Raw genomic sequence first — 26,778 nt, 5'->3', positions numbered from 1 at the left:
GATGAGAGCCTCAGTCTCCTTCTACTTCATGGTGGAAGGTGAAGGGGAGCTTGTACGTGCAACGATCACATTGCAAAAGAGGAAGCAAGAGAAAGGGTGGGAAAAGCGGCAGGCTCTTTTTAACAACCAGCTCTCTTGGGAACTAATGGAATGGGAACTCACTCACCCTTGAAGGAGGATATTAATCTGTTCATGTAGGATCCACTCCCATGACCCAAACACCTCCCATTAGGCCCCACCTCCAACATTGGTGATCAGATTCCAACATGAGGTTTGGAGGGGACAAACATCTAAGCCAAGCGTAGATAGAGAAAGAAAATGAGTTCAATGTAAACATTTTTGAATTTGCCAGATGAAATAACCATCGGATATTTAGAGATATAGATTTAGAGCCTTTGAGAGATTTGGTAAATACAGACATATGATTGCCTTTAAAGGACTCTGGAAAGTAGGGGTAGATTTTGCTGGAATGCCAGGTGGTTGATCCAGGGTGAAGACATGTATCTCCTGAAGCTGAATTTGGATCAAGAAACGGAAGAGCCAAATGTATATAAATGTTCCCTTGAACAGTGGTGTATATATTAGTGTAATTTCACAATGGTGATGTAAATCCGAGTATAACAGAGAAGTGATGAAGCAAGAAAATTTCCCCTTAACTCTTGCAGAACTTTACCACAGTGGAAACTTACCAGAATCTCTGATGGTTTTGCCTTTGGTATGGGGAATAAAGGGCAAGAGATAAATTTGAATAGGCAGTGCTGTTGCTCCTGCTTAAAGCACTCCTGGAACTCTTAGCCAGGTATTTGTAGCCAGATGTATTCTTGGATAGCTCTATTAAAGACTTATAGTAGGAGGATATGTGTATGGCAGGGATTGGGGATGGGGGTCAGTGTGTTCCACAAATCCATAACCCTCCTGTAATGCTGCTGTGCTGCTCAATAAATATTTATTGAAAAAAAGTGAATGAAAGAGTGAATATTGAATAAATAGCTAGAGATATACCTATTAATAAACATAAAGGTAATAATAATAAAGGTATTAATAATATCAATATAAGTGTAGTAGAATGAATGATATGAAAAATTAGAAATTAATTATTTCCCATGAGTCTTTAGATGTCTAAGGAACTTATGTTGCAAAAGGACACAAACTGGAGAACAGTCCAAAAAAATGTATTTCTAGCCCTGTCACATGCTTTTTCCTGCATATAGCAACAAATTCTGTGTGTGGTAGTGCTGGCATTTTTCCTCCCATGAGGATGCATAGAATGTCAGCACCTGTTTACAGTTGCTGTAACAACTGTAAGTCACAATGGCTTTTCCATGTGAAGAGGGAGGAACAAAGTGGGGAGAGTTGGATAAAAATATGTATGAACAGGTGCATGAATCAAATAAGTCCCCAGAGGTAGAAAAAGAGGATCTATGTGTAGCTTCTCACACAGATCACTCCTCCTATCTGTAGTCAGCAAATGGATTTTGATAACCTGAGAACAAAATTAGAATGGAAGGATTTAGGTGGGGAACAAAAAGAACCAGAACCAACGAAATAAGAGCACAGCCTCTACCAAGAATACAACAAAACAGGAGAATTTTTTTTTTTAAGTTTAAATGTTTGGAGCTCCATCTTCTGGTTATGAAGCGGGATAGAATTGAAATGCACTATTAATCATAAAAGCTAAAATGTATCAATAGGAACTGTGTTAAACGTATCATCTCATTTAATTTATCTGCCCTGCCAAATAAACTACCAACTCTTGAACATGAAAATTAAGGTAGTTCATATTCTAGCTCCAACCTCGTTTCATCATTCATTTAACAAGCTTATACTAGAGCCTAATAGGCAAACAGTATTATGTTTTACATGTCTGGGCTTTCTGGGAAGTACAAACCCATCATTCTTGACACCTACTTTCAAGGAGTGACTCTTTAATTGCCATCAAAACACATAATGAGAAAAATGCCACAAGACAGCCAAAAAACTGAGTTTCCAAAGTGTGATAGAGGGATAAGTCAGACTCTGAACACACACCCCACTGGGGAACCTGAAAATCTAGATCATGGGAAAAGGAGTTAACCTTACCTAGAGCTGAAATGGATTTAGGGACCCAGGTGAAATATAAAAGTAGAAGAAGCAGTGTGAAGAGCCCTGTAGGCACTCCCAGTCCCCAGCTCAACCCAGGGAAGCCATTCCTGGCCTAATCTCACAGAGGTCCTTGGGGAAGGGAAGGCAGCCAGCAGAACTGGGGAGGGACCACAGGGTGAAGGAAGCTCCCAGCTGAACTTTGTAATAATTTCAACTGAGCACAAATTTTCCTGACCACAATTGGTGGTGGTAGGGGGATGGTGAATGGGAAGTGCCGATACAAGTATACAAGCCACAGCTGATGGCGTGGGCAGGCAGGAAGCAGCAAAGCCTGAGAGCCCTGTGTGCTTTCTCAGTGGGGAGGATTGTAGCCTGGGGCAAGATCTCAGCCCTGCCCACCAGCTGCCTATATATAAACTCAGTGTGGTTGGGGGGCATAGTGGGAGTGAGACTGGCCTTAGTGGCTGCATAGGAGCTGGGTGATGTCTGTCACTGCTAGCTTTCCCCTACCTCCCTGGTGGCCTGTATGATGCAGCAGAGGCAGCCATAATCCCCCTGGGAACATAACCCCATTGGCCTGAGAACCACCCCCATCCCCGACAGTGGCCACAACAAGCCTCACCCAGAAAGAATCTGAGCTCAGACCCACCTAACCCTGCCCTGACCTGATGGCTTTTCTCTACCTGCCCTGGTAGCTGAAGACAAAAGACAAAAACTCTTGGGAGCTCTATGCTCTATGGCCCTACCCATTGCCTGAGAAACCCAAGTACTCATTCTGGCCAACATAGGGTAAGATTATATCCCCCTTCTACTAGATGCTGTCTTGAAAGCACCATCTCCTGGCTGGAGGCCAACCAACTCAATACATTACAGCAAGTCAGAACAACCCTGCTCCAAAGAAGGAGAAAACAACAGCTAATTCCACTGCCTGCAACAACCTGGCTAACCAGAGGTCCTGAGCCTGTCCACATGAAAGCTTCACTGCTAGCATAACCAGCATTTGAGAAAACAAGTACACTAAACAAAATTACAACAAAGGACTTTCACAGAGTCCACTTCATTCCCTTGCCACCTCCACCAGACCGGGTGCTGGTATGTATGGCTGGGAGAGCTGAAGATGGATCACATCACATGACTCTTTGCAGACATTTTCCAGCATGAGCCAGGAATCCAGTAGCCCCATTGGGTGACTAGACCCCGAAGGGCAATAACAATCACTGCAGTCTGGCTGTCAGGAAACCCCATCCCTAGGGGAAGGGGGAGAGCACCACATCAAGGGATCACCATGTGGGATGAAAGAATCTGAACAGCAGCCCTTGAGTTCCAGAATCTTCCACTGAAAAAGTCTATCCAAATAAGAAGGAGCCAAAAAGTAACTGTTCATATGACAAAACGAGATTCTATCACACCCCCAAAAGATCGCATTAGCTCTCCAGCTATGGCTTCAAACCAAGAAGAAATCTCTGAATTGCCAGATAAAAAGTTCAGAAGATTGATTATTAAGCTACTCAAGGAGGCACTAGAGAGAGATGAAAACCAACTTAAAGAAATTAAAAAAAAATACAGGATATGGATGAAAAAGCCTCCAGTGAAACAGATATCATAAAGAACAGACAATCACAACTTACGGAAATGAAAGACACCCTTAGAGAAATGCAAAATACACTGGAAAATTTCAACAATAGAATCAAACAAGTAGAAGAAAGAACTTCAGAACTTGAAGACAAGGCTTTCAAGTTAATTCAATTCAACAATGACAAAGAAAAAGCAAAAAAATTGAACAAAGCCTCCAAAAAATTTGGGATTATGTTAAACAACCAAACATAAGAATAATTGGTGTTCCACGGAAGAAGATAAATCTAAAAGTTTGGAAAGCTTATTTGAGGGAATAATCGAGGAAAACTTCCCTGGTTTTGCTAGAGATCTAGACATCCAAATATAAGAAGCTTAAAGAACACCCAGGAAATTCATTGCAGAAAGATTATAACCTAGGCACATAGTCATCAGGTTACCTAAAGTCAGAATAAAGAAAAGAATCTTAAGAGCTGTGAGGCAAAAGCATCAGGTAACTTATAAAGGAAAACCTGTCAGATTAACAGCAGATTTCTCATCAGAAACCCTGCAAACTAGAAGAGATTGGGGTCCTATCTTTAGCCTCCTTAAACAAAATAATTATTAGCTAGGAATTTTGTATCCAGCTAAACTAAGCTTCATAAATGAAGGAAAGATACAGTCTTTTTCAGTCAAACAAATCCTGAGAGAATTTGCCTCTATCAAGCCAGTACTACAAGAAATGCTAAAGGGAGTACTAAATCTTGAAATAAAACCTCAAAATACCCCAAAATGGAACTTCTTTAAAGCATAAATCTCACAAGACGTACAAAACAATAACACACACACACACAAAATGAGGTATTCAGGCAACAACTAGCATGATGAATAGAACATTACCTCACATTTCAATACTAACGATGGCCTAAATGCTCCACTTAAAAGATGCTGAATGGCAGAATGGATAAGAATTCACCAACCAAATATCTGCTGTCTTCAAGAGACTCACCTAATACATAAGGACTCACATAAACTTAAGGTAAAGGGGTGGAAAAATATATTCCGTGCAAATGGAAACCACAAGTCATCAGGAGTAGCTATTATTAGACAAAACAGACTTAAAGTCTGTTAAAAACAACAACAGTTTAAAAAGACGCAGAGGGACATTATATAATGATAAAAGGATTAGTCCAACAGGAAAATATCACATTCCTTAATATATATGCACATAACATTGGGGCTTTCAAGTTTATAAAACAATTACTACTAGACGTAAGAAATAAGATAGATGCCAACACAATAATAGTGGAGGACTTCGATACTCCACTGAAAGCACTAGACAAATAATCAAGACAGAAAGTCAACAAAGAAACAGTGGACTTAAACTATACCCTAGAATAAATGGACTTAACAGATATTTATAGAACATTCTACCCAACAGCTGCAGAATATACATTCTTCTCTTCAGCACATGGAACATTCTCCAAGAGATGCCATATGATAGGCTGCAAAACAAGTCTCAGTAAATTAAAAAAATCGAAATTATATCAAGTACACTCTCAGACCACAGTGGAATAAAATTGGAAACTAACTCCAAAAGGAACCCTCAAAACTATACAAATACATGGAAATGAAATAATCTGCTCCTGAATGATGTTTGGGTCAACAATGAAATCAAGATGTAAATTAAAAAATTATTTGAACTGAACAATAATAGTGACACAGCCTATCAAAACCTCTGAGATACAGAAAAAGTGATGCTAAGAGGAAAGTTCATAACATTAAATGCCTACGTTAAAAAGTCTAAAAGAGCACAAATAGACAATCTAAGCTCACATCTCAAAGAACTAGAGAAACAAGAACAAACCAAACCCAAGCCCAGCAGAAGAAAAAAAAAAAAACAAAGATCAGAGCAGAACTAAATGAAATTGAAACCAAAAAAATACAAAAGATAAATGAAACAAAAAGCTGGTTTTTGAAAAGATATACAAAATCAATAGACCGTTAGTGAGATTAACCAAGAAAAGAAGAGAGAAGATCCAAATAAATTGAATTAGAAATGAAATGGGAGATATTACAACCGATACCACAGAATTACAAAAGATCATTCAAGGCTACTATGAACACCTTTATGTGCACAAATTGGAAAACCTAGAGGAAATGGATAAATTCCCGGAAATATACAAACCTCCTAGATTAAGCCAGAAAGAGGCCAGGTGTGGTGGCTCATGCCTGTAATCTCAGCACTTTGAGAGGCCAAGGCGGGCAGATCACTTGAGGCCAGGATTTCGAGGCAAGCCTGGCCAACATGGCAAAACCCTGTCTCTCCTAAAAATACAAAGGTTAGCCGGGTATAGTGGAGCATGCCTGTAATCCCAGCTGTTCGGCTGGCTGAGGCAGGAAAATCGCTTTAACCTGGGAGGTGAAGGTTGCAGTGAGCCAAGACTGCACCACTGTACTCCAGTCTGGGTGACAGAGCAAGACTCTGTTCAAAAAACAAAACAAAACAAAACCCAAAACCAAAAAACAAACAAAAAACAGGAAGAAATAGGAACTCTGAACAGAGCAATAACAAGTAACAAGATTGAAACAGTAATTTTAAAAAGCCAACAAAAAAAATGTTCAGGACCAGATGGATTCACAGCTGAATTCTGTCAGACATTCAAAGAAGAACTGGTACCAATCCTACTGAAACTATTCCAAAAGATAAAGTTCTAAATCTTGAAATAAAACCTCAAAATACACCAAAATGGAACTTCCTTAAAGCGTAAATAGATACAGATAGAGGCAATCCTCCCCAAATCATTCTATGAACCCAGTATTACCCTAATATTAAAACTAAGAAAGGACCTAAGTAAATAAGAAAACTATAGACCAATATCCTTGATGGACAGAGATGCAAAAATCCTCAACAAAATACTAGCTAACCGAATCCAACAGCATATCAAAAAGATAATAGGCCGGGTGCGGTAGCTCATGCCTGTAATCCCAGCACTTTGGGAGGCCGAGAAGGGCAGATCACGAGGTCAGGAGATTGAGACCATCCTGGCTAACACGGTGAAACCCTGTCTCTACTAAAAATACAAAAAGTTAGCCGGGCGCGGTGGCCGGCCCCTGTAGTCTCAGCTACTCGCGAAGCTGAGGCAGGAGAATGGCGTGAACCCGGGAGGCGGAGCTTGCAGTGAGCCGAGATTGCACCACTGCACTCCAGCCTGGGCGACAGAGCAAGACTCCGTCTCAAAAAAAAAAAAAAAAAAAAAAAAGATAATACACCATGTTCAAGTGGGTTTCATACCGGGTATTCAGGTATTCAAGTCAATAAATATGATACACCACATAAATAGAAGTAAAAACAAAAATATGATTATCTTAATAGATGCAGAAAAAGCATTTGACAAAATCCAGCATCCCTTTATGATTAAAACTCTCAGCAAAATCAGCAAAGAAGGGACATACCTTAAGGTAATAAAAGCCATCTATGACATACTCACAGACAACTTTATAACAAATGGGGAAAAGTTGACAGTATTTCCCCTGAGAACTGGAACAAAACATGGATGCTCACTTTCACCACTTCTATTTAGCATAGTACTGGAAGTCCTAGCCAGAGCAATCAGACAAAAGAAAGAAATAAAAGCATCCTAACTGGTAAAGAGAAAGTCAAACTGTCACTGTTTGCCAGTGATATGATTGCATAGCTAGAAAACCCTAAAGACCCATCCAAAAAGCTCCTGGATCTGGTAAATGAATTCAGTAAAATTTCAGGATAAAAATATCATGTACACAAATCAGTAGTACTGCTATACACCAACAGTGACCAATCTGAAAAATCAAGAATGCAACCCCTTTTACAGTAGCTGCAAACAAACAAACAAACAAAAAACAAACAAACAACAACAACAAAAAAACCCTTAGGAATATACCTAACAAAAGAGGTGAAAGATCTTTACGAAGAAAACCATAAAACACTGCTGAAAGAATTCACAGACGACACAAACAAATGGAAACACATTCCATGCTCACTGACGGGTAGAATCAATATTGTGAAAATGACCATACTGCCAAAAGCAATGTATAAATTCAATGCAATTGCCATCAAATACCATCATCATTCTTTAAAGAACCAGAAAAAAATAATCCTAAAATTCATATGGAACCAAAAAAGAGCCCACATATCCAAAGCAAGACTAAATAAAAAGAACAAATCTGGAGACATCACATTACCCGACTTCAAACTATGCTACAAGTTTATAGTCACCAAAATAGCATGGTACTGTTATAAAAACAGGCATGTAGACCAATGGAACAGAATAGAGAACCCAGAAATAAAGCCAAATACTTGCAGCCAACTGATCTTTGGCAAAGTAAACAAAAACATAAAATGGGCAGAGGACACATTATTCAAGAAACAGTGCTGGGATAATTGGCAAGCCACATGTAGAAGAATGAAACTGGATCCTCATCTCTCACCTTATACAAAAATAAACTTAAGATGGATCAAAAACTTAAATCTAAGACCTGAAACCATAAAAATTCTAGAAGACAACATTGGAAAAATTCTTCTAGACATTGGCTTAGGCAAAGAGTTCATGACCAAGAACCCAAAAGCAAATGCAAAACAAAAACAAAAACAAAACAAAAAAAAAACAACAACAAAAAACAAAACCCAAAGATAAATAGATGTGTCTTAATTAAACTAAAAAGCTTCTGCACAACAAAAGAAATATTCAGCAGAGTAAACAGACAACCCGCAGAGTAGGAGAAAATATTTGCAAACTATGCATCCGACAAAGGACTAATACCCAGAATCTACAAGGAACTCAAACAAATCAGCAAGAAAAAAAACAAATAATCCCATCAAAAAGTGGGCAAAGAACATGAATAGACAATTCTCAAAAGAAGATATTCAAATGTCCAACAAACATATGAAAAAATGCTCAATATCACTAATAATCAGGGAAATGCAAATCAAAACCACAGTGTGATACCACTTTATTCCCACAAGAATGGCCATAATTAAAAAATCAAAAAATAATAGATATTGGCATGGATATGGTGAAAAGGGAACAGTTTTACACTGATGGTGGGAATGTAAACTAGTACAACCACTATAAAAAACAGTGTGGAGATTACTTAAGGAACTAAAAGTAGAACTACAATTTGATCCAGCAATCTCACTACTGGGTATCTAACCAGAGGAAAACAAGTCACTATATGAAAAAGTCACTTGCACACGCATGTTTATAACAGCACAATTCACAATGCAAAATTATGGAAGCAGCCTAAATGCCTATCAACCAAAGAGTGGATACAGAAACTGTGGAATACTACTCAGCTATTTTACAAAGGAATGAAATAATGCTATTTGCAGCAACATGGTTGGAATTGGAGACCATTATTATAAGTGAAGTAACTCAAGAATGGAAACCCAAACAACGAATGTTCTCACTTATAAGTGAGAAATAAGCTATGAGGATGCAATGGCATAAGTATGATATAATGAACTCTGGGGGCCCTAGGAAAAGTGTGTGAGGTGGGGGTGAGGAATAAAAGACTACACATTGGGCACAGTGTACACTGCTCAGGTGATGGGTGCACCAAAATCTCAGAAATCACACCTAAAGAACTTATCCAAGTAACCAAGCACTACCTGTTCCCCCAAAACTATTGAAATAATAATCACTTTCAAAAATAGAAGTAAACCCCACACACATTGATTATTTTACACTTAGTATGAATTACACAAATAATACATGAACAATGCTTCTTTCCCCAGATTGAAACTTCACAGAAATGATGAAACTTTTCTTTGACTAGCACCACAGCCATAATCTCTTACTTCCTCCTAGCAGTAATCATAGTTGTAGGTTTGTGGATGCTTCTGAATATTATTTAAGCTGTAATATACATGTAAATGTACACATAGAAAATTGATTGTTACTTCTTGTAAACTTGAGTAGAGGTGTATTATGTATGAGAGTGTTTTAAGTACACTATTGTCTACTTAAAAAACCAATAGAGGGGACTCTCTAAAAGAAAACATTTATTTAGGAATGGGGCTTTGCAATGGAAATATACATACCATAGTAAACTATGTATATATTCAGAGAGGTAAAGGAAGACAAAGATTTTTAAAGGAAAAATGACAATTGTATAATTGTTTTGTGATAATTAGTTTTGGCTACAAGGATCAATACAAAGGGTGGTGCCAATCTGAGGTTGGAAGGGCAGTTGCTGGGCAGATGTTCTTACAAAAGTATTTTTTGTGTGTAGGGTTGTGATAACCTTTCTGCAAATTTGTGGGTTTTTTTCAGAGCCTTTTGTGATAGTTCTTGTTATGAGGGCTTAGTGCGTGAGAATTCTGTCTTCATGGCTTTCCCCAAGTCTATTTTTTTAGTTTTTAACACTAGTGACTCCATTTTGATTCTGACAACTTTCACATTTCCCCCTTTGGATCAGGATCTTTCTCCAAAGCGTCACTGATGAATCATCCTGTAGTTAGGGTTTGATTGTCCTTCAGTCCTGGGATAGACCAGTCCTGGTTTGGTCTGGTCTTCCCATGTTTGAGGGAAGTGGTTGGCAAGTAGGAGTCAGTATCAGAACATTTTTAGCCACATTTGAGCAACAAGGGAGCTTAGGAGGGAGTGGCTTTCAGGCTAAGGCTACCTGGAATCCATTGTTAAGTTAATTTTGTCAGTTCCATAGGTCTTTGTTATCATCTCAAAGTGCGTGGCCAGTATTATTCTATCAGGAGTCATACTTCTCCAAAAACTTAACAAGCAATAGGTATAAGGTTTTAAAAAGGGAAAATGCAAAGTAAATTAATAAGCTTAGTTTGTATAAAAGTTTTGAGTCATGGACTAGGCTTAAAGGCTACTACTTGAATAAATCAAGTAGTAGGATTGTGGGAAATCCTACTGTGGGAAATTAAGTAAGACTTGTAACCATGTGGCCTGTTTTCTCCTTTTGTGTTTATGGATCTCAACTTTCCCAGAGGAATATACCCAGGTACAGCATGTAGTATTAGCAATAGCTACAGACATCTCCTTATTAGCCAATAGTTAATATTGAGCAATTTTGTCATCTAATATCTTATGACTGGATTTAATGAAAGCAGAGAGTGATCAATCATTGTACTGGGGATGATGCCAAAGTCATCTACTAGGTGGACTAAAGGATCTCCTTGCTTGGGTGTGGTGGTTCATGCCTATATTCCTAACTCTTTGGGATCCCAAGGCAGGAGGATCACTTGAGGTCAGGAGTTCAAGACCAGCCTGGGCAATATAGTGAGATCCTGTCTCTACAAAAAGTAAAAAAATAAATTGAGCATAGTGGTATGTGCCTGTAGTTCTAGCTACTTGGGAGGCTGAGATGGGAGGACTGCTTAAGCACAGGAATTTGAGGCTGAAGGGAGCTATGATTGCATCACAGATTAGGACCCATCTCTAAAAAAAAAGAAAAGAAAAGAAAAAAAGGATGTTCTAGGATAGGTTCTGTCAAGTTACCAGCAGAAGGTTCTGATTGTTAACTTTTAATGTCACCATTATCTTGCCAAGTGAAAAAGGTGGGCATTAAGAGAGGTAAGAGTCTCATTATGATATGGAGGGTTGTTCTGAGGTCTTGGGAAAAGCTGTCTGAGGAATGAAGACATTAACTTCTTATCCTGGTTTGCAGTTTCAATGTCCCTGGCTATGGCATCAGGTGGTTTGTTTAACTTTCTGTGTGACACATCCATCAGTCATGAAACTTATCCCTTAAAATTCATCTAGTTTTAGTTTTCAGGGCTTCAGAACAAAAGAGGTCTCATTTTTAGTAATTCCATGGGAGAAAGTTGAATTGGAGGACTCTAGAAGAATTCAGGATATAGTCTAGTCTGTAGGTAGATAGCAAGGACTCAAAAACAATGCACAAGGCTACAGTCTAATAACACATATATTATAGCTTTTCTTTAGAAACATAAGTTTTTATCTCTATATTGATCACATGAAAATCTCAGATTTAAAACCTTTTGAGGCTAGGAAGTCAAACCAAGGTAGATTTTAGGTTTTACCTACCATCTTAAGGTTTTTGGGGCCTGCCAGGAAGTGACAATATTTACTCACTCACTATAAGGCTGGAAACCCTTGAAACCAGGCATTCTATGCACGTTCTCAAATATGATATTCCAGTCAATGCCTTGGTAATATAGCCAATGCTTCCAATTGTATTCTGTTATAAAGAGAAAGTAGATTTTTACTGAACTTATCCAAATAACCATACAGCCATAAGAATACTCATGAAGAGTTTCCAAATTTTGGAGGGATCAAGTAAGAAGAAAAAGTAAATATTTCCACCTTTGTTCTCAAAAGTATGCTTTACCGTATTGCTTTAAACTATAGATAGCTTAAGAAAAAAGTTACCTTAAATTTGGAAAACAAAACACTTAGGAGTCAAAAATCTTTCAAATTAAAGTCATAAAAACATTATCTTCAGCAGTTACTTAATGTCATGTAATTTTTGTTCTGCTTGATCTTGATGAGTAGTTTCATGAATTCAGCAGTTTCTTCATTAGAATTCTAAAAAAATTAATTAATCAACTTTAGTTATTAAAATCTGTATTTTAATTCTTCTTCTTTTTCCTTCCTCCTCATTCTTCTCCTTTCTTCCTTCTTTCCTTCCTTGTTCCCTCCCTCCTTTCCTTCATTCCTGCTCCTTCCTTCCTTCTTTCCTTCCTTCCTTGTTTCCTTCCTTCCTTCCTTTTCTTCTTCTCCTTCTCCTTCTTTCTCTTCCTCTCTCCCCTCCCCCTTTCCCTCTCGCTCCCCCTCCTGCTCCCGCTCCTCCTCCTCCTCCTCCTTCTTCTTCTTCCTGTTCTTCTTCTTCTTCCTCTTCCTCCTCCTCCTCCTTCTGTATTCTTCTTCCTTCTTCTTTCCTCTTCCTCCTTCTGTATTCTTCTTCCTTCTTCTTTCCTCCTTGTTTTTTCTTTTTTGAAGACAAGATCTGGTTCTATCGCCCAGGCTGGAGAGCAGAGTGGTGCGATCATGGCTCACTGCAACCTCACCTCCTGTGCTCAAGCCATCCTCCCACCTCTGCCTCCTGAGTAGCTGGGATTACAGGAATGTGCCACCACACCCAGCTGATTTTTTATTTTATTTTATTTTTAGTAGAGACAAGGTCTCCCTACATTGCACAGGCTGGTCTCGAACTCCTGAGCTCATGCAATCCACTCACCTTGGCCTCCCAAAATGTCTCCTTACATTGCCCAGGCTGGTCTCGAACTCCTGAGCTCATGTAATCCACTCACCTTGGCCTCCCAAAATGTTGGGATTACAGGCATGAGCCACCACACCCAGCCGAAACCTGTTTTTAAAATAAAAAAAAATTGATGTATAATAGTTGTCACATTTTTGGGGTACATGTGGTATTTTGATACCTGTATACAATGTGTAATGATCAAATCAGGGTACCTGGGATATCCATCACCTCAAACATTCATCTTTTGTTTGTGTTGGAAATAGTACAAATTTTCTTTTCTAGCTATTTTGAAATACAGAATAAATTATTGTTAACTATAATTTCCCTTCTGTACTACTGAATACTAGAACTTATTCCTTCTATCTAACTGTATTTTGTACCCTTAACCAACCTCTCTTCATGCCTCCCTCCCCACTTTTCTTCCTAGCCTCTGGTAACCATTTTACTCTCTACCTCCATGAGAGCCAATTTTTTTGCTTTCGTATATGAATGAGAACGTGCTATATTTGTTTTTCTGTGCCTGGCTTATTTCACTTAGCATAATGACCTGCAGTTCCACCTATGTTGCTGCAAATTACAGGATTTTACTCTTTATTAATGGCTGAATTAGATTCCATTGAGTATATCTATATACATGACATTTTCTTTCATTCATGTATATCTGTATACATGTATATAGATATATTCATGTATATTTATATACATGCATATAGATATATTCATGTGTATTTATATACATGCATATAGATATATTCATGTGTATTTATATACATGTATATAGATATATTCATGTGTATTTATATACATGACATTTTCATTCATCTATTGATTGACAATTTGAAAAAATTTCTGTTTTTATTTTATCAACAAATTCAAGGCCAGTTTATTGGGCCAGGGGTGGTGGCTCATCCCTATAATTTCAGCATTTTGGGAGGCTGAGGTGGGATAATCGCTTGAGGCCAGGAGTTTCAGACCAGCCTGAGCAACATGGTAAAACTCTGCCTCTACAAAAAATACAAAAATTAGCCAGGCATGGGGGTACATACCTGTAGTCCCAGCTACTTGGGAGGCCGAGGTGGGAGGATTGATTGAGCACAGGTGTTTGAGGCTACAATGAGCACCACTGCACTCCAGCCTAGGAACAAAGCAAGACCCCACCTCAAAACAAACCACCCCCTACCAATAAAACACCAACAGCTTATTTATCAAAGATTTACTTAAGTTGTATGAACTAAAAGGCATTTGGATTAATTACTATATATTTTATGATTGCTTATTTATCTGAGCTAATCCGAATAGGATTTCTTAAGGAATTTCTAGCCAAGTACACCAGATTTTACAATTTAGACACAGCATACAACACATGTCAACACACATAAACACATATACATGCACACAATAAAGATCTTATAGCTTTAATTTTAGAATTTCAGTCACTAGATAGTAAAGCATAGTAATACAAACTCACAAGTTTATAAAAAAATAGTTGGACCCAAATTGTATTTTTGACAAAATGGGACCTGTTCAGGTGGATAAGTGTTATTTTCCCTAATAGATAATCTAAGAAAAGCTGTGGACCAAAATTTTTAGGTAAAGCATCTTGGTTTTAAATAAATCTCACATCTTTTTTTCCAGTTTTAAATGAGTTTAGGGTTAAATTTTCAATTGTTTACATTTTAGCTGGGACTGGCTAAATTCTGTAAGAAAGTCAAAATCTCCAAGTTGCCTTAAATTTTTTAGTAACAAATCTTTCTTTTGTTTGCTGATCTGGTTTTCTTGACTAGACAATGCGGACAGGGAAGCATTTTGGCAGGTTTTTTTTTGTTTGTTTTTTTTTTTTGGTCAGCGTTTCTGGCCCCCGTGTAACAGACAGACAAAGCAATTTTTATGCCAGAGATACCTTGTATTATTGCGCTAAGTTCAAGATTTTGACCTATTTGATCTGAGACCTTAATTTGTATAAACACATATCTCTTTATGTCCGTATAGAATATCAATCCTTCAATTAACTGTTTCATCACCCTAAGCAATTAATAGTTAGGGAAACCTCAATTTACATTTCCAAAAGGTGTCTAGGTTGTTGGCTGCCATGAAGCGGTTGTAATTTGTAAAGCCATTAATTTGAAAGCCCTTTAAGATTTTTATCCTTATCCTGGTTAAAATGCTCTAAAAAAAGATCTAAGCAGCTTTTGAAATTAGCAACAGTGTGTTATCTTAACACAAATGAAAAAGTTAACAGATTTAGAGTATCCAGAAAAAAAAAGATAACTAAAAAGACTCTACATGTTAACTCTATAGTTGATTGCAGTTTCTAATTGAATTCTAAGAAAAAAACAAGGTTGGGGACTTCAAATGATATTCATGATGGCCATTAATTTAAAAACATGCACGAGGAAAAGCCATGTAGCCAGCTGGAGTCCCAGAAAGCTTGACATGCCTGAATGTTTGAGAATCCCATTCTGTTTCTGACTAATTTCTCCAGAGCAAAGAAAATTCTATAAATCCTGTCAGGAAGTTTACACTGGTGGTTTAGATCATGGTGACCATCCCAGTGGCTTTTAATTGGCCATATCATGCCTACTATTTAGAATGTTTATTTTTGCTCTTGGAAGATGTTCAGAAACAAGTAAGGGAAAAAGAGCCAAATCATTTACAGACACACATAACCTAACCAAAATGAAACCAAAATCAGAGTGCTCACAGAATTTTTAACCCAGCCATGCAGATCAAACAAAATATTAAGCCGGATGCACCAAATCAAAAGTGAATTCACCAGAAAAGAATGCCTCACAGACAGAATGTAAACTCCGTAGAAACCAGATAACTCAAACCAGAAGGACACTTGTCTTTTACCAGAAAGGGCTCGCCAGAAATAACTTTTATAGTCCCAGGAGGGATGCAAGGTCCTTTATTTAAGGTGGCCTTATAACCAAATCAGATCCCAAATAAAGTAAAAAAGAACTCACCAAAGGGAGGGAGTCCAAGAGTCCTAGAGAAGATTCACTATGGAAGAAAAGGCAACATTGAAGTCAGTACTGCACTCAATTCCACAGGCCACCAATCCATCAAAGGTGAGCTAACTTTGGCCTCACTGCTGACACCATTAATGCGAAACTAAATAACAGAGAGGAAGATTCTCTAAAAGAAAATGATATTTTTTTGCGAATAGGAATACAATGGGAATACACATGCCATAGTAAACTATGTGTGTGTTCAGGAGGGTAAAAGAAGACAATGTTTTCTTTTTAAATGAGAAGAATTACATAATTGGTTTGAGATAATTATTTTTGGTTACAGAGATCAATACCAAGGGTGATGACAGTCCAAGGCTGACAGACAATTGCTGGGTAGATGTCTACAGGAGTATTTTTTTTTTCTTTTTGGTATACAGTTGCAATGGCCTTTGTGCAAGTTTGTAGTTTTTTCAGAGTCTTTGGTGATAGTTCTTGTTATCAGGCATTGGTGCATGAGAACCCTCTCTTCATGGCCTTCTGAGGCTCTGTCTTTTAGGATTTTTAACACAAGTGGCTCCATTTTGATTCTGACAACTTTCACAGTATAATTCTATACCACTGTATGCCATTGCTCTTTACCCTTAGCAATATATCTTGGGAATTTACACATGATTTTATATATATATATATATATATATATATATATATATATATATATATATATATATATATCTCCAGTTTATTCTTTTTAATAGTAACATGGTATTACATAATATTTAGTCTGTCTCCTTTGTAGGCTTGTTTGCAGAATTGTAGGCAATGCTTCAATAAACATTATTGTGCACATGGGTATTTCTCTAGGCGAGATACTGAGAAGTGGAATCACTAGGCCAAAAGGTAAGCTTAGTTTTGTTTTTGGTGGATAATGATTATTGCCCTTCAAAGTGGCAGTCGCAATGAAAGGGGTTTTTTCTCCGCACTACTCTGTCTACACATCTGCTGACACTTGATATAGCCAAATTGTATTTGGTCAATCTAATAGCTTAGAACTGGTATTTTATTATTGTTTTTACTTTTATTTCCCTGGTCATTTATTCTTTTATGTTTAATGACTATTTCATCTATTGTTCTGGGGCTTGCCTCTTATTCTTTACATTTTCATATCTTTTAATCTATTTTTATTGGGTTGTTCTTATGTTGGATATGTAGTAATTCTTTTTTATATTCAGTATGATAATTTGTTATACATGTGTAAAATTTTTTCTGGATTATTGCATCTTCTAAAAACTTTGCCTGGAATATTGTTTATCATATATGTTTTATTTTTAACTAATACATCAATTAGATAAATTTCTGATACATATTCCTTATAGCCTCAAGCATATATATACTCATATTTTTATGTATATTGTATTAGTGTGGGCAGAGCCTTACCCAAATCCCCTTGAGGCTTACCACTTAGCACAGCTGCCTTAACTGTATCTGTGTGTCTTTCCCTGACAGCTTTCTCCTCTGCTGGAGAAGAGGAATTTCTGCTCCTCAGTCTGGGAGCAGTTCTGACCTTGATTGTTGTGGTTGGTTTTTAATTCTCTGCTCCTCTTGACCTTTGAGTCGACACTGGCTCCTGGAGTTTCCAGCTAGATTAGGCTCCAGTAGTGGTAATTTACTTAATAATACACACTTTGTGTGCTGCCTTCCCTTCCTTGACTCCCTTCCTCCCCTTCCTATCAGTGATTCCTGTGGCCCCCTTTCAAATAAACTATTTGTAGTTGGATCTTTGAGTCATGGTCTTCTTCTGGGGGAACACAAACTAAGTGCTATCTTTTAGTCAGCACTTACTCTGTGCCAGGCAGCAGCTAAGAGTCTGTTTTTATGCAGTGTGTAATCACATTATCTCCATTTTGTAAATGAAGAAACCACAGTTGAAGTTAAATAAGCTACTTGGGGATGTTCATCAAGTAAGTGACAAAAATACAATTTGAACCAAGACCCTCTGACTTTCAAAACCCATATTTTTGACCATTAGATTCAGAAACAACTGCCTTTCTAGCATATCCCTCACTCATTTTCTCATGAAAATTCTTCTCCTTAATGGTCCTATTCAGAGGACAGTTCCTCAATAAAAGATTCCTTGGTATTATGTTCAGAATTAATTTTTCCCTTCCTGGATTTTCATATGACCGACTGCCTTTCTTTTGGAATGTAATACGCTGTCTTTTGTTTATAGGTGTGAATATCTCATTTTCTGTGCTGTATAGAATAGTTCTTGGGTGCCTAACACATACCAGGTGCTTTAAAAATGTTTTCTTTAAGGAATTATTATGAATTCCTTTAGGGCAAGGAGTATGTCTCTATATTGCCTAGCTCATGTTTTACATTAAGGAGTTCAATGAGAGCTCATTGGATTGAAGTTCAGGAACAAGATCATCTGCTAGAGGACAGAGCATATACACTTTAGAAAGGACAGAATTGGGGAAGTAATTTATAGATATTGACGCAATAAGTAGGCTAGTTCATGACCTAAAGAAATTTGAAAATGAGTACAATTTAAATTGGCCTATAGGTTTGTGAATCCAGCTAAAGGCTAATTCAGTGCCTTCATAGGATATCTTTCTTTATCTCTTCTGTTCCTAGTCTAGTACTAGGCATTATTGTATAATGGAAAGACACCTATAAAAGAAAAGAAATATCTGAGGCTCTCATGTCTTCGCAGGAGTTCACATTTAAGAGAATAAATGAAAAAAGGAAACTTTTTTTTTTAAAAACAGGGTCTCACTCTGTTGCCCAGGCTGAAGTGTGGTGGTGTGATCATAGCTCATTACAGCCTTGAACTAGGCTCAAACACCACCTCAGCCTCCTGATAAGCTGGGATTACAGATGCATGCCACCACAAATTTTTAGTAGAGATGAGGTCTCTCTATGTTGCCCAGGTTGGTCTTGAGCTCCTGGGCTCAAGCAATCCTCCTGCCTTGGCCTCCCAAAATGTTGAGATTATAGGTGTGAGCCACCTTGCCTGGCCCATTTTTAAAAAATAATTTAAACTTTTATTTTAGATTCAGGGGGTACATGGGCAGGTTATATGGGCATATTGCATGATGCTGAAAGGAAACTTAAAAATAAATTATCAAAGAGTAGAAAATTTGTTTGAAAAAATGTGTATTAAATTGCTGAAGCACTATAGAGGAATAATAAGAATGTGCTGTTGGCTAGCCAGGGAAAAGTTCCAGAAACAGGTGAAGGTTGAACCAAAACAATTATGTGATGGTTGCTATTTGGTAGAAAGCAGTGAGCAGAGCACTTTGACTAGTATGAAAAAATAGTGCAGGGTCTAGAATTAGTGTGTTGTATTTATGGAGGATGCAGAGTGGATGGGCTTTGCTGGTGGAAAGACTTTGCTGGATGTGCTTAATACCCCCAAAAGAGGGACTGTAGGCAAACTGGGAGGCAGGTGAAATTGGACTTGAGAGTTCTAGCACATGAATCTTGTAGCACTTCTTTTCCTCTTCTGGCTCTTCCTTTCCATTCCTCACCCCAGCCAGTCATCATGTGTCTTATTGCCAGCTCTTAGGCATATGCTCACTCAGGTGTAGATAATGATGATTTAGAATTTGAAACAGTAAATCAATTGGAGGATGGGGTGGAAAGTGGAGGGCAGGAAAAAGTTTTGCTAGTTAAGATACACATATTAGCAAAGGAACAGGTGTGAATGTTTATAGACAACTTGATGAAAAGGCAGTGGTTTCGTTTGGCTAGAGCAGTGAGCTTCCTAATGTTTTTGAGTAAGAACACCCCTTGTTAATAAGAAAAAATTGGTAGGTTCCTACATAATAGTAAACTGTACTGCTACTATCCTTTGGAAAAATACATGTTGGTAAGATTACTATAAATTAATACATTTTAAAGTAATAGTATAATATGGTAGTTAATTTAGTTTACAGACAATAATCGGAAGGATGTGGATTCACAGACCCCTTTACGTTACTTTACTACTTCCCAGATCTTTGGCCCACAGGTTGGATTTCACTGGGCTAGCATAGGATTTCTGTAGAGAGGTTCATTCTGTGAGACTCATTTATTCATTCACTCAAGAAATATTTATTGAATTAAGTGCAGTATGCTCTTTTAGGCTCTGGGAAAATAGTTGTAAAAGAAACTAAGACCCTCCCTCAGGGTGCTTATATTTTAGTGAGAAGAGACAGACAATAAAAAATATTACACAAATAACTATGATATTTCTAATGATGTTAAGTGTTACAGATAATAGGGATTATCTGGGTAGGCTGGGGGGAATGTTACTTTGATAGATTGGAGAGAGAACTCTCTACTATGGTGACATTTGTATAGACATTTGAATGAATTAGGGAGGGCCCTGTAGGTCTCAGGAAGAAGAGTGGAATGCGTACAAAGCCCAAGAGGTGGGAGCATGTTTGCTGTCCTTGGGTAAGAGCAAAAAGACTGGTGTGGCTAGAGTAGGATTAGGGAGATGAATAATTAATTGTGGTAGATGATGGGGTCTGGTAGTGCATAGCCAGCCATATTATATAGGATCTTGCAGGCCATTATAAGCACTTTGAATTTTACCCCAAATGAGATTTTTTAAAAAGCCATTGGAGGATTTAAATCAGAACAGTGACATAATCTGAAATGTTTTAAAATAATTACCATGGCTGTTTGTGAAATAGATTATTAGGTAAGCGTTGAAGCAAGGGACCAACTGTAGAAATCCAGGCTACAGATTAATTCTCAAATGCTTCTTATTGGTTGAATAAGATGAGGATGGAGAACTGACCCTTGGAATTGCAATGGAGAGGTTACTAAGGAGTGTGCACTCAATTTGTTAGGTAATAATGAGCCTTTGAAAGTTTTATAGGAAAGTGATACCATCAGTGTGGTACTTTATGAAAATTTATCAGTTGGTACCCACAGATGGGAAGAATTCGATTAGATGAAAAAGTCTGAGGATAGAGAGATATTTTAGGTACCCATTTCAACAATCTAATTGGAAAAGTATGGGAGCTGGAAGTAAAGTAGCAAAGGTGAGAATGGAACTGACATTTCAGAGTCTGAACTGGAAGAACTAGGCAACTGAAGGAATATAGAGCCAGAGACAAAAGAGTCTAAGTTAAAATTTTGAAATTGCATGATGAGAAAAATTGTGGTTGCATTAACAGAATTCAGAACATCAGGAACAGAATGAGTTTGTTTGGGAAAGATGATACCCTTAACTTTGGATGACATGGCTTTGAAATGCTAGACATCTAGGTTGACCTCATAACTCACCTTTAAATTATTATTCTTCCATCCTCTTTCAGCAGTCCCTCTTTTGAGATTCCAGAGGCATTGGAAACTGTAATCTTCTGAACTGAAGGATCCCACCCTTCTTCCTAGAATAAATCTTTGTTACTTGACTCTGTAGTCTATATTGATGATCCACACAGAATAAGCCTCACAAAAAAGTCTGTTATTTTTGTTTATGTGCTGAGTTTGAGGTGTTGGTGGTAAATTTTGGCAAAAATGTCTTTTAGAATGAAAATGTAAGTCCAGAATAAAGAAGAGAGATAAACGTTGACTGAAATGTGGGAGTCATTTTCTATCAAACTAAATAAGAACTCTAAAGGAAAGAATGTACCAAAGAGAATATTAATTATAGGTGCCAGAAGAATTCTCTGTAGTGGGAAAGTTAATTTGACATATGGAGGAGAGGCAATGTACATTTAAAAGCTATCAAGAATATGCCTCAAAAACTTTTTGTTTGGTCAATCACCTTGATGGGCCATATTACAGTGGAAAATAAAACTCAGAGCATGCTGAGGTATAGGAGTGATATAAAGAGAAACAAGAAGTTTTGTGAGTTTCAAAGGAATGGTCAAGAGAAATGTACTTCATATTATTAAGTCAATGCAAAGTAAAGCTAAGGAGAATTTAGCTTTACTTTGGAGAATTCAGTAGAAGCAAGAAATCCAAGCAAGAAATGACTCAGAATAATGTTAAGCTTCTTTAGAATTCATGAAGATACTTCAGGAGCGAGTTGGGGGATGCTGTTTTCCATTATATTCTGAATGGGTATTCTTCCCATTTTAATTTATAACACAAAAATATATGGCAATAGAATGGGGGTGGTTACTATTTTGGGGACATCCAAGTTGTAAATGTATGAGTCACAACACATTTAGAGGAGGAAAAAAAATGGAGATCAAAAAGTAGCCGTTAAAGAGGCAGAAGAAAATGGTTTCAGAATATTTCTAAAACTTGGATGACTTTATACTTGAACTGGTTAAAATGGCATGAAATCCATTTACCTTTAAAAGACCCTGCAGTGCTGCCATGCAGTGCCCTGCCATTTTGTTGTGGTTGTTGTTAAGGGATTAATTAATTTCCATAATAGTCTTTACTTTCAACTCAGGAGAATGTTAACTTTGTGCTTTTTTGGGACAATTATGGATGTGAGTCTCCTTAATCTTCCATGTAACCTACTAAACCACAAGTTCTCAAATTAACCAAATTGGAAGTTGGAGGAAAAATTCAACTATGCATTTTTTGAGTGAAGGATAGTCATCACTTCATTCTCTGACACAATGTAATGTTGAACCCAGTTGGTATGTCTTTCAAAACTGACATGGAGTCTGTTCTTTGACTGCACAGTAGTGTGTGTGTGTGTGTGTGTGTGCATGCACACACACATGCATACAAATGCATGTTTTCTGTTTTAAGACTATTACTTCTCTTTGAAACAGAATACCCTGGATAAGTTATAGATGGATATTATGGGTTTAACCCAACTAATTATAAAAAAGCGAACCCTCCTTACCAGCTGGGCTCTTCCTAGTTCCTAATTCTCATTCTGCTACACAGCAAGGAAACACTAGGATACAGAGCTGTTTTAACTTGAAAAAGAGCTCCATGTCACACAATAAAATGATATTTTAGTTTTACATTGTAGACTAGAATGTATAGTGTAAATGATTCCTTGGTTCAGAAAAAATATACAATATTAATATATGCTTATTAAATAAATACAGTTGTATACCACTTGGTTGAAAGCTGTTGAAGACTATATATAAAATAGCCTGCACCTGAACATAGGGCACAGAGAAACTCAAGAACTATTACCTGAACTAATTTTCAAGGTTTTCAATTTATTGTTTTTATCTCCTGTGGAATTCAGGTCATTATTGCTAATTTCAAATGAAAAAGAATCAATTAAAAGTTTTTTTTTTTTTTTTTTTTTTTTTTCAGATCGTAGAGAGTTTCACATCATTGCAAATGAAATCTTCATTCACATAAGAAAGTGTAAAGAGTTTCATATGTTTACCAAAGTATCATGTTTTTACCATTACCCTAACCTTCTAATCTGTTTATATTTTTAAATGTTAACAGATTTCAAATACTTATCAGAGAAAAAAATTGTCCTATTAAGGAGCTTCAGGTGTTTGCTTTGTAGATGTGGTATATAGATTTAAATTGTGCTGGAATTTATATTTTTTACCTAATGTGTATCCATAACTATTTTGGCTGTAGCAACATGGCTTTCATTTTGCATAGCTAATAAAAGTAGCTGATGAGTCAGTCTAATGATATTGCTTTATGCTTCCTTAGAGTCTTTCATCTGCAGCTCACTAAATGCTTTGTAAACATTAATTAAACATCACAACACACACTGGAGGAAAGGTTAGTATTATTATCCTTTTATGGGGAAACATATATAGAGGGCTTAGGTAAGGCAAATATTAAATATATAGAACTGAGTTCTACAGGATACAGGTGCCAATAATGCTTCTTCCTGAGCACAGAGAAAGGAGCATAGGTGTAATTACAACAAAACCCCCAAAGTTTATGGGGAACCTGAGTTTCAGGAAACTCAGAACACTTTGTGAAATAAATTTCAGAGATTGTGTATTAAACTGAAGTTTCTAGTTAGAAGAGTGTGTACCACACAGTACGCAAACTTATCTTTTTCCTGATGAAGTGGAAAATCAGGTCAGGATTACTGCAACGTGCTTGAACTTAATAACTGAAAATAGAATCATATGATCTGGGTATTCTAGCACAACCCGATTTCAAATAAGCTGATCTGCTTCTCCCATAAGTGGATTCAGACTATTCTTATTGTGTGACCTAATTTTTAGTTTTGAGGATCAAATCACCATAGCTATTATGGCCAGTTTTGAAGCTTTATTTCTATATCCTAAAATGAAGTGGGTATTGACCAATTATCAGACAATCTGGGTAATTCAGATGGCTGGCAAATCAGTTGTTCAATTGCTAGTAACACAGATAGGAATTCAGCAAGATGGAATTTTATATTTCTTTCATAAAAGGAAGGCTTAAGAGAGGCTTATATGGTAGCTCTAAAGTGGTATCAGTGACTCAGGCGCTTTTAGTTTTCTTCGCCATCCATAGCATGTGATTTCCATCCCCAAGGTTTTCACGTGGTCCAAGATGGTTGCTGGGATCCCAGACAGACATCATATATGTCTTCTAATCAGGGAGGAAGCAGAAAGGACAAAAAGACATACTTCAGCTGTTTGTCTTAAGGAGCTTTCTCTAAAGGCCCACTTACTGTTTACCAACCATCCCTATCTGCAGGAGAGATTGGCAAATGCAGTCCTTTAGCTGGATACATCACTACTTGGAATAAAATTAAAGTTCTTAAAGTTCTATCATTAAGGAAAAAGAAGAGAATAGATGTTGTGTAGGTGACTAGTTGTCTTAGCTATAGCAAGCAAGCAAAATCAACGATTAAAGCAAAAAACAAATCCTCTTTGGATAGTGCATTATATGGTTTGTCTTTTTGTCTAATTGATATTGACTGAACAATATACACATTTCCAGTGTGTTTCGTGACCTGGAGGCACTGCCTATGGGTGTGTATGTGTGGCCCTGGCAAGAAAATAACCGAACCAACAAGTGCATCAGCAGAATTGTCTGGAAATGTTCTTGCTGTGTTACTCCCCACCCTGTTTTTGGTCATGCACTGAAGTCAAGGTTCCTGGTGTGCTTGCAACTTAGCTGCTGGTAGTTAAAGTTAGGCAGGTCCAGGGCAGTGTAAATCTCCTCTGAACTGTTTGATTGTGATAATCTGGAATATAAAGCTACTTTTCCTTTTGTATAACTTTTTATCCTGTGCTCTATATGAGTGTGTGTCTCTGTGTGTGTTATCCTGAGGTTTGCATACTCCTTACTCCCCAGACACTGATTTTGGGAGGAGTTTGAAAGCATAGTAATGGCTTACTTGCTTGAAAGAAGTATTTCATTTAACACAATTGTAATCGCAAAAGGATGTGAATATTAACTTATGATTCTCTATAATTGGATGTGGCTTTTAAAAAGCAAATGATCCATTCCACATTTGAACTAAACCTATGGTCAGGTGAGCTTTAAGAAGAGAGGTTAATTTGGAGACACAGTCTGAAACAGTGCATGTTTCAGTACTTCACAAATATTAAGAACTTTGTTATTTTACTTTCTTTGAGTGCCACTTTGGTGTTCCACAACTACATCTATACAGATAAACAAGGGTCTGAAGGAAAGGAAAAGGGCTGTTAAGGTTAGCTATAAATGATGTTTGGCGATTAGGGTCCCTCTAGTGGTAGCTAGCTTAAATACGCTTAGGCAGCAACAGAGTGGTGTACCCTACATATTTGTGGTGGTGACCCACGGTTTATAAAGCCACCTCAATTTAATTCTAAATTCTTATTATAGCAGTGCTGTTATGAGTCAACTCTCACTAAAAATTTTTAGTATTTTGTTTTCTTAATGTAGATTTGGGAGCTTGTGGATAATTGTCTTAATGATCCTAGTCTCCTTTGTTTCTGTGTGTGTGGACTTCCACTTTCTTCTTATCTAAAAGCCACAACCAGTCACTTTTCAGGGCACTCAGTTTGATGAAGTTTTAAGAGTCTCCAAAATGATGGCTCTGTTGTTACTCCTTGTGTTTGGCATATAACTAGAGTTAGATAAAATAATCAAACCGATGAAGATCAAAATGTCAGGTTTATTATCAATAAAAGTGATATTGAAGAATGTGGCTCAGTTGTGTGGTAACAGTAGGTTTCCTAGGACTGCACCAGAAATAGCCATTTTTCTGGTTGCCTGCCAGGCCTTGCTCTGCAGGGTTAGTCCCTTTTACATAAAGTGACACATAATTTGTTGTGCAAACCAAGACACTTTTGAGAGTCGAAGGGATGAAATGCCAGGACTGTCCTGAAAACTGTGGCATAAGGCCACTGACTTTTATCTCATGACAGCAGCCAAAACAGAAAGCACATTGTCTTCAGGCAGACAGATCCCTGAGAGAAAGGGCAGAAAGGAGCTTAGCTCAGCATGCTCAGTTGCTTCTCCCTAACACACCAATTAGATAAATAAATTCTTTACCCTTGAAGAGAAGTAAGGGATGGTCCAAGAAGCCAGTTGTGCTCATGGAAAATCCATCCATAGATTCCATAGTGGTATGGAATGGAGGGTTTTCTAATCAACCCTGCTCCTAATATTTGCACAGCCAGAGTGGGGTGCTCTAGGCATAGGGACTGAGGAGTGGAGTGCAAGTGCTGATTGTTAGCGTATCTTCTCAACTTCATATTTAATGATATGATGCTTGCTTGGTACACTCGAAATTGGCCATGGTGGGAGTTTTGGCAAACTACAAACCAGGGCTTTCTTTCCTCCTTTCCAGAAGAGCTGGTTGTTAAAAAATCATCAGCACACCACTTAGCCCTGGACAGATTTTATTTCTGCTGGGTTTTATGGCTTAGACTTGCCACTGCCCCCACCAGCTGGGAAAGATGTCTGTGATCAGTGATCATAGGTACATTTGTTATTGCCATGAAAAACTCCAACCTCAGCACCTTCTATATGCCTCATAGGGCTGCACTCCATTGGTCCTACTTCCCATGGCCTCAACAGCTGCAGTGTAGTGTGTGCTCTGAGTCTTCTGACCTGGCAGAGCCAAGGAGCCTGAGGA

The 26,778-nt window shown here is 37.6% G+C and overlaps 1 protein-coding gene across 5 annotated transcripts in view, besides 1 other annotated feature; it reads left to right on the top strand.

Annotated features, from left to right (window-relative positions):
- MAPK10 (mitogen-activated protein kinase 10) overlaps nucleotides 1-26,778 on the top strand; it is a 583,670-nt gene that overhangs the window by 69,909 nt on the left and 486,983 nt on the right. The gene's annotated exons all lie outside the window — the stretch shown is intronic.
- Nucleotides 25,383-25,492: an enhancer, noted in NCBI's record as "active region_21695". NCBI's record gives its function as "activates an Ori minimal core promoter by ATAC-STARR-seq in GM12878 lymphoblastoid cells {active_cell/tissue: GM12878}" and the evidence as "EXISTENCE:reporter gene assay evidence [ECO:0000049][PMID:35858748]".

Source organism: Homo sapiens, chromosome 4 (genome assembly GCF_000001405.40).
Source record: "Homo sapiens chromosome 4, GRCh38.p14 Primary Assembly".
In the NCBI taxonomy this organism is placed as follows: domain Eukaryota; kingdom Metazoa; phylum Chordata; class Mammalia; order Primates; family Hominidae; genus Homo; species Homo sapiens.
The sequence above is the reverse complement of the archived record's forward strand: the minus strand, read 5'-3'. Positions and strand labels throughout refer to the sequence as shown.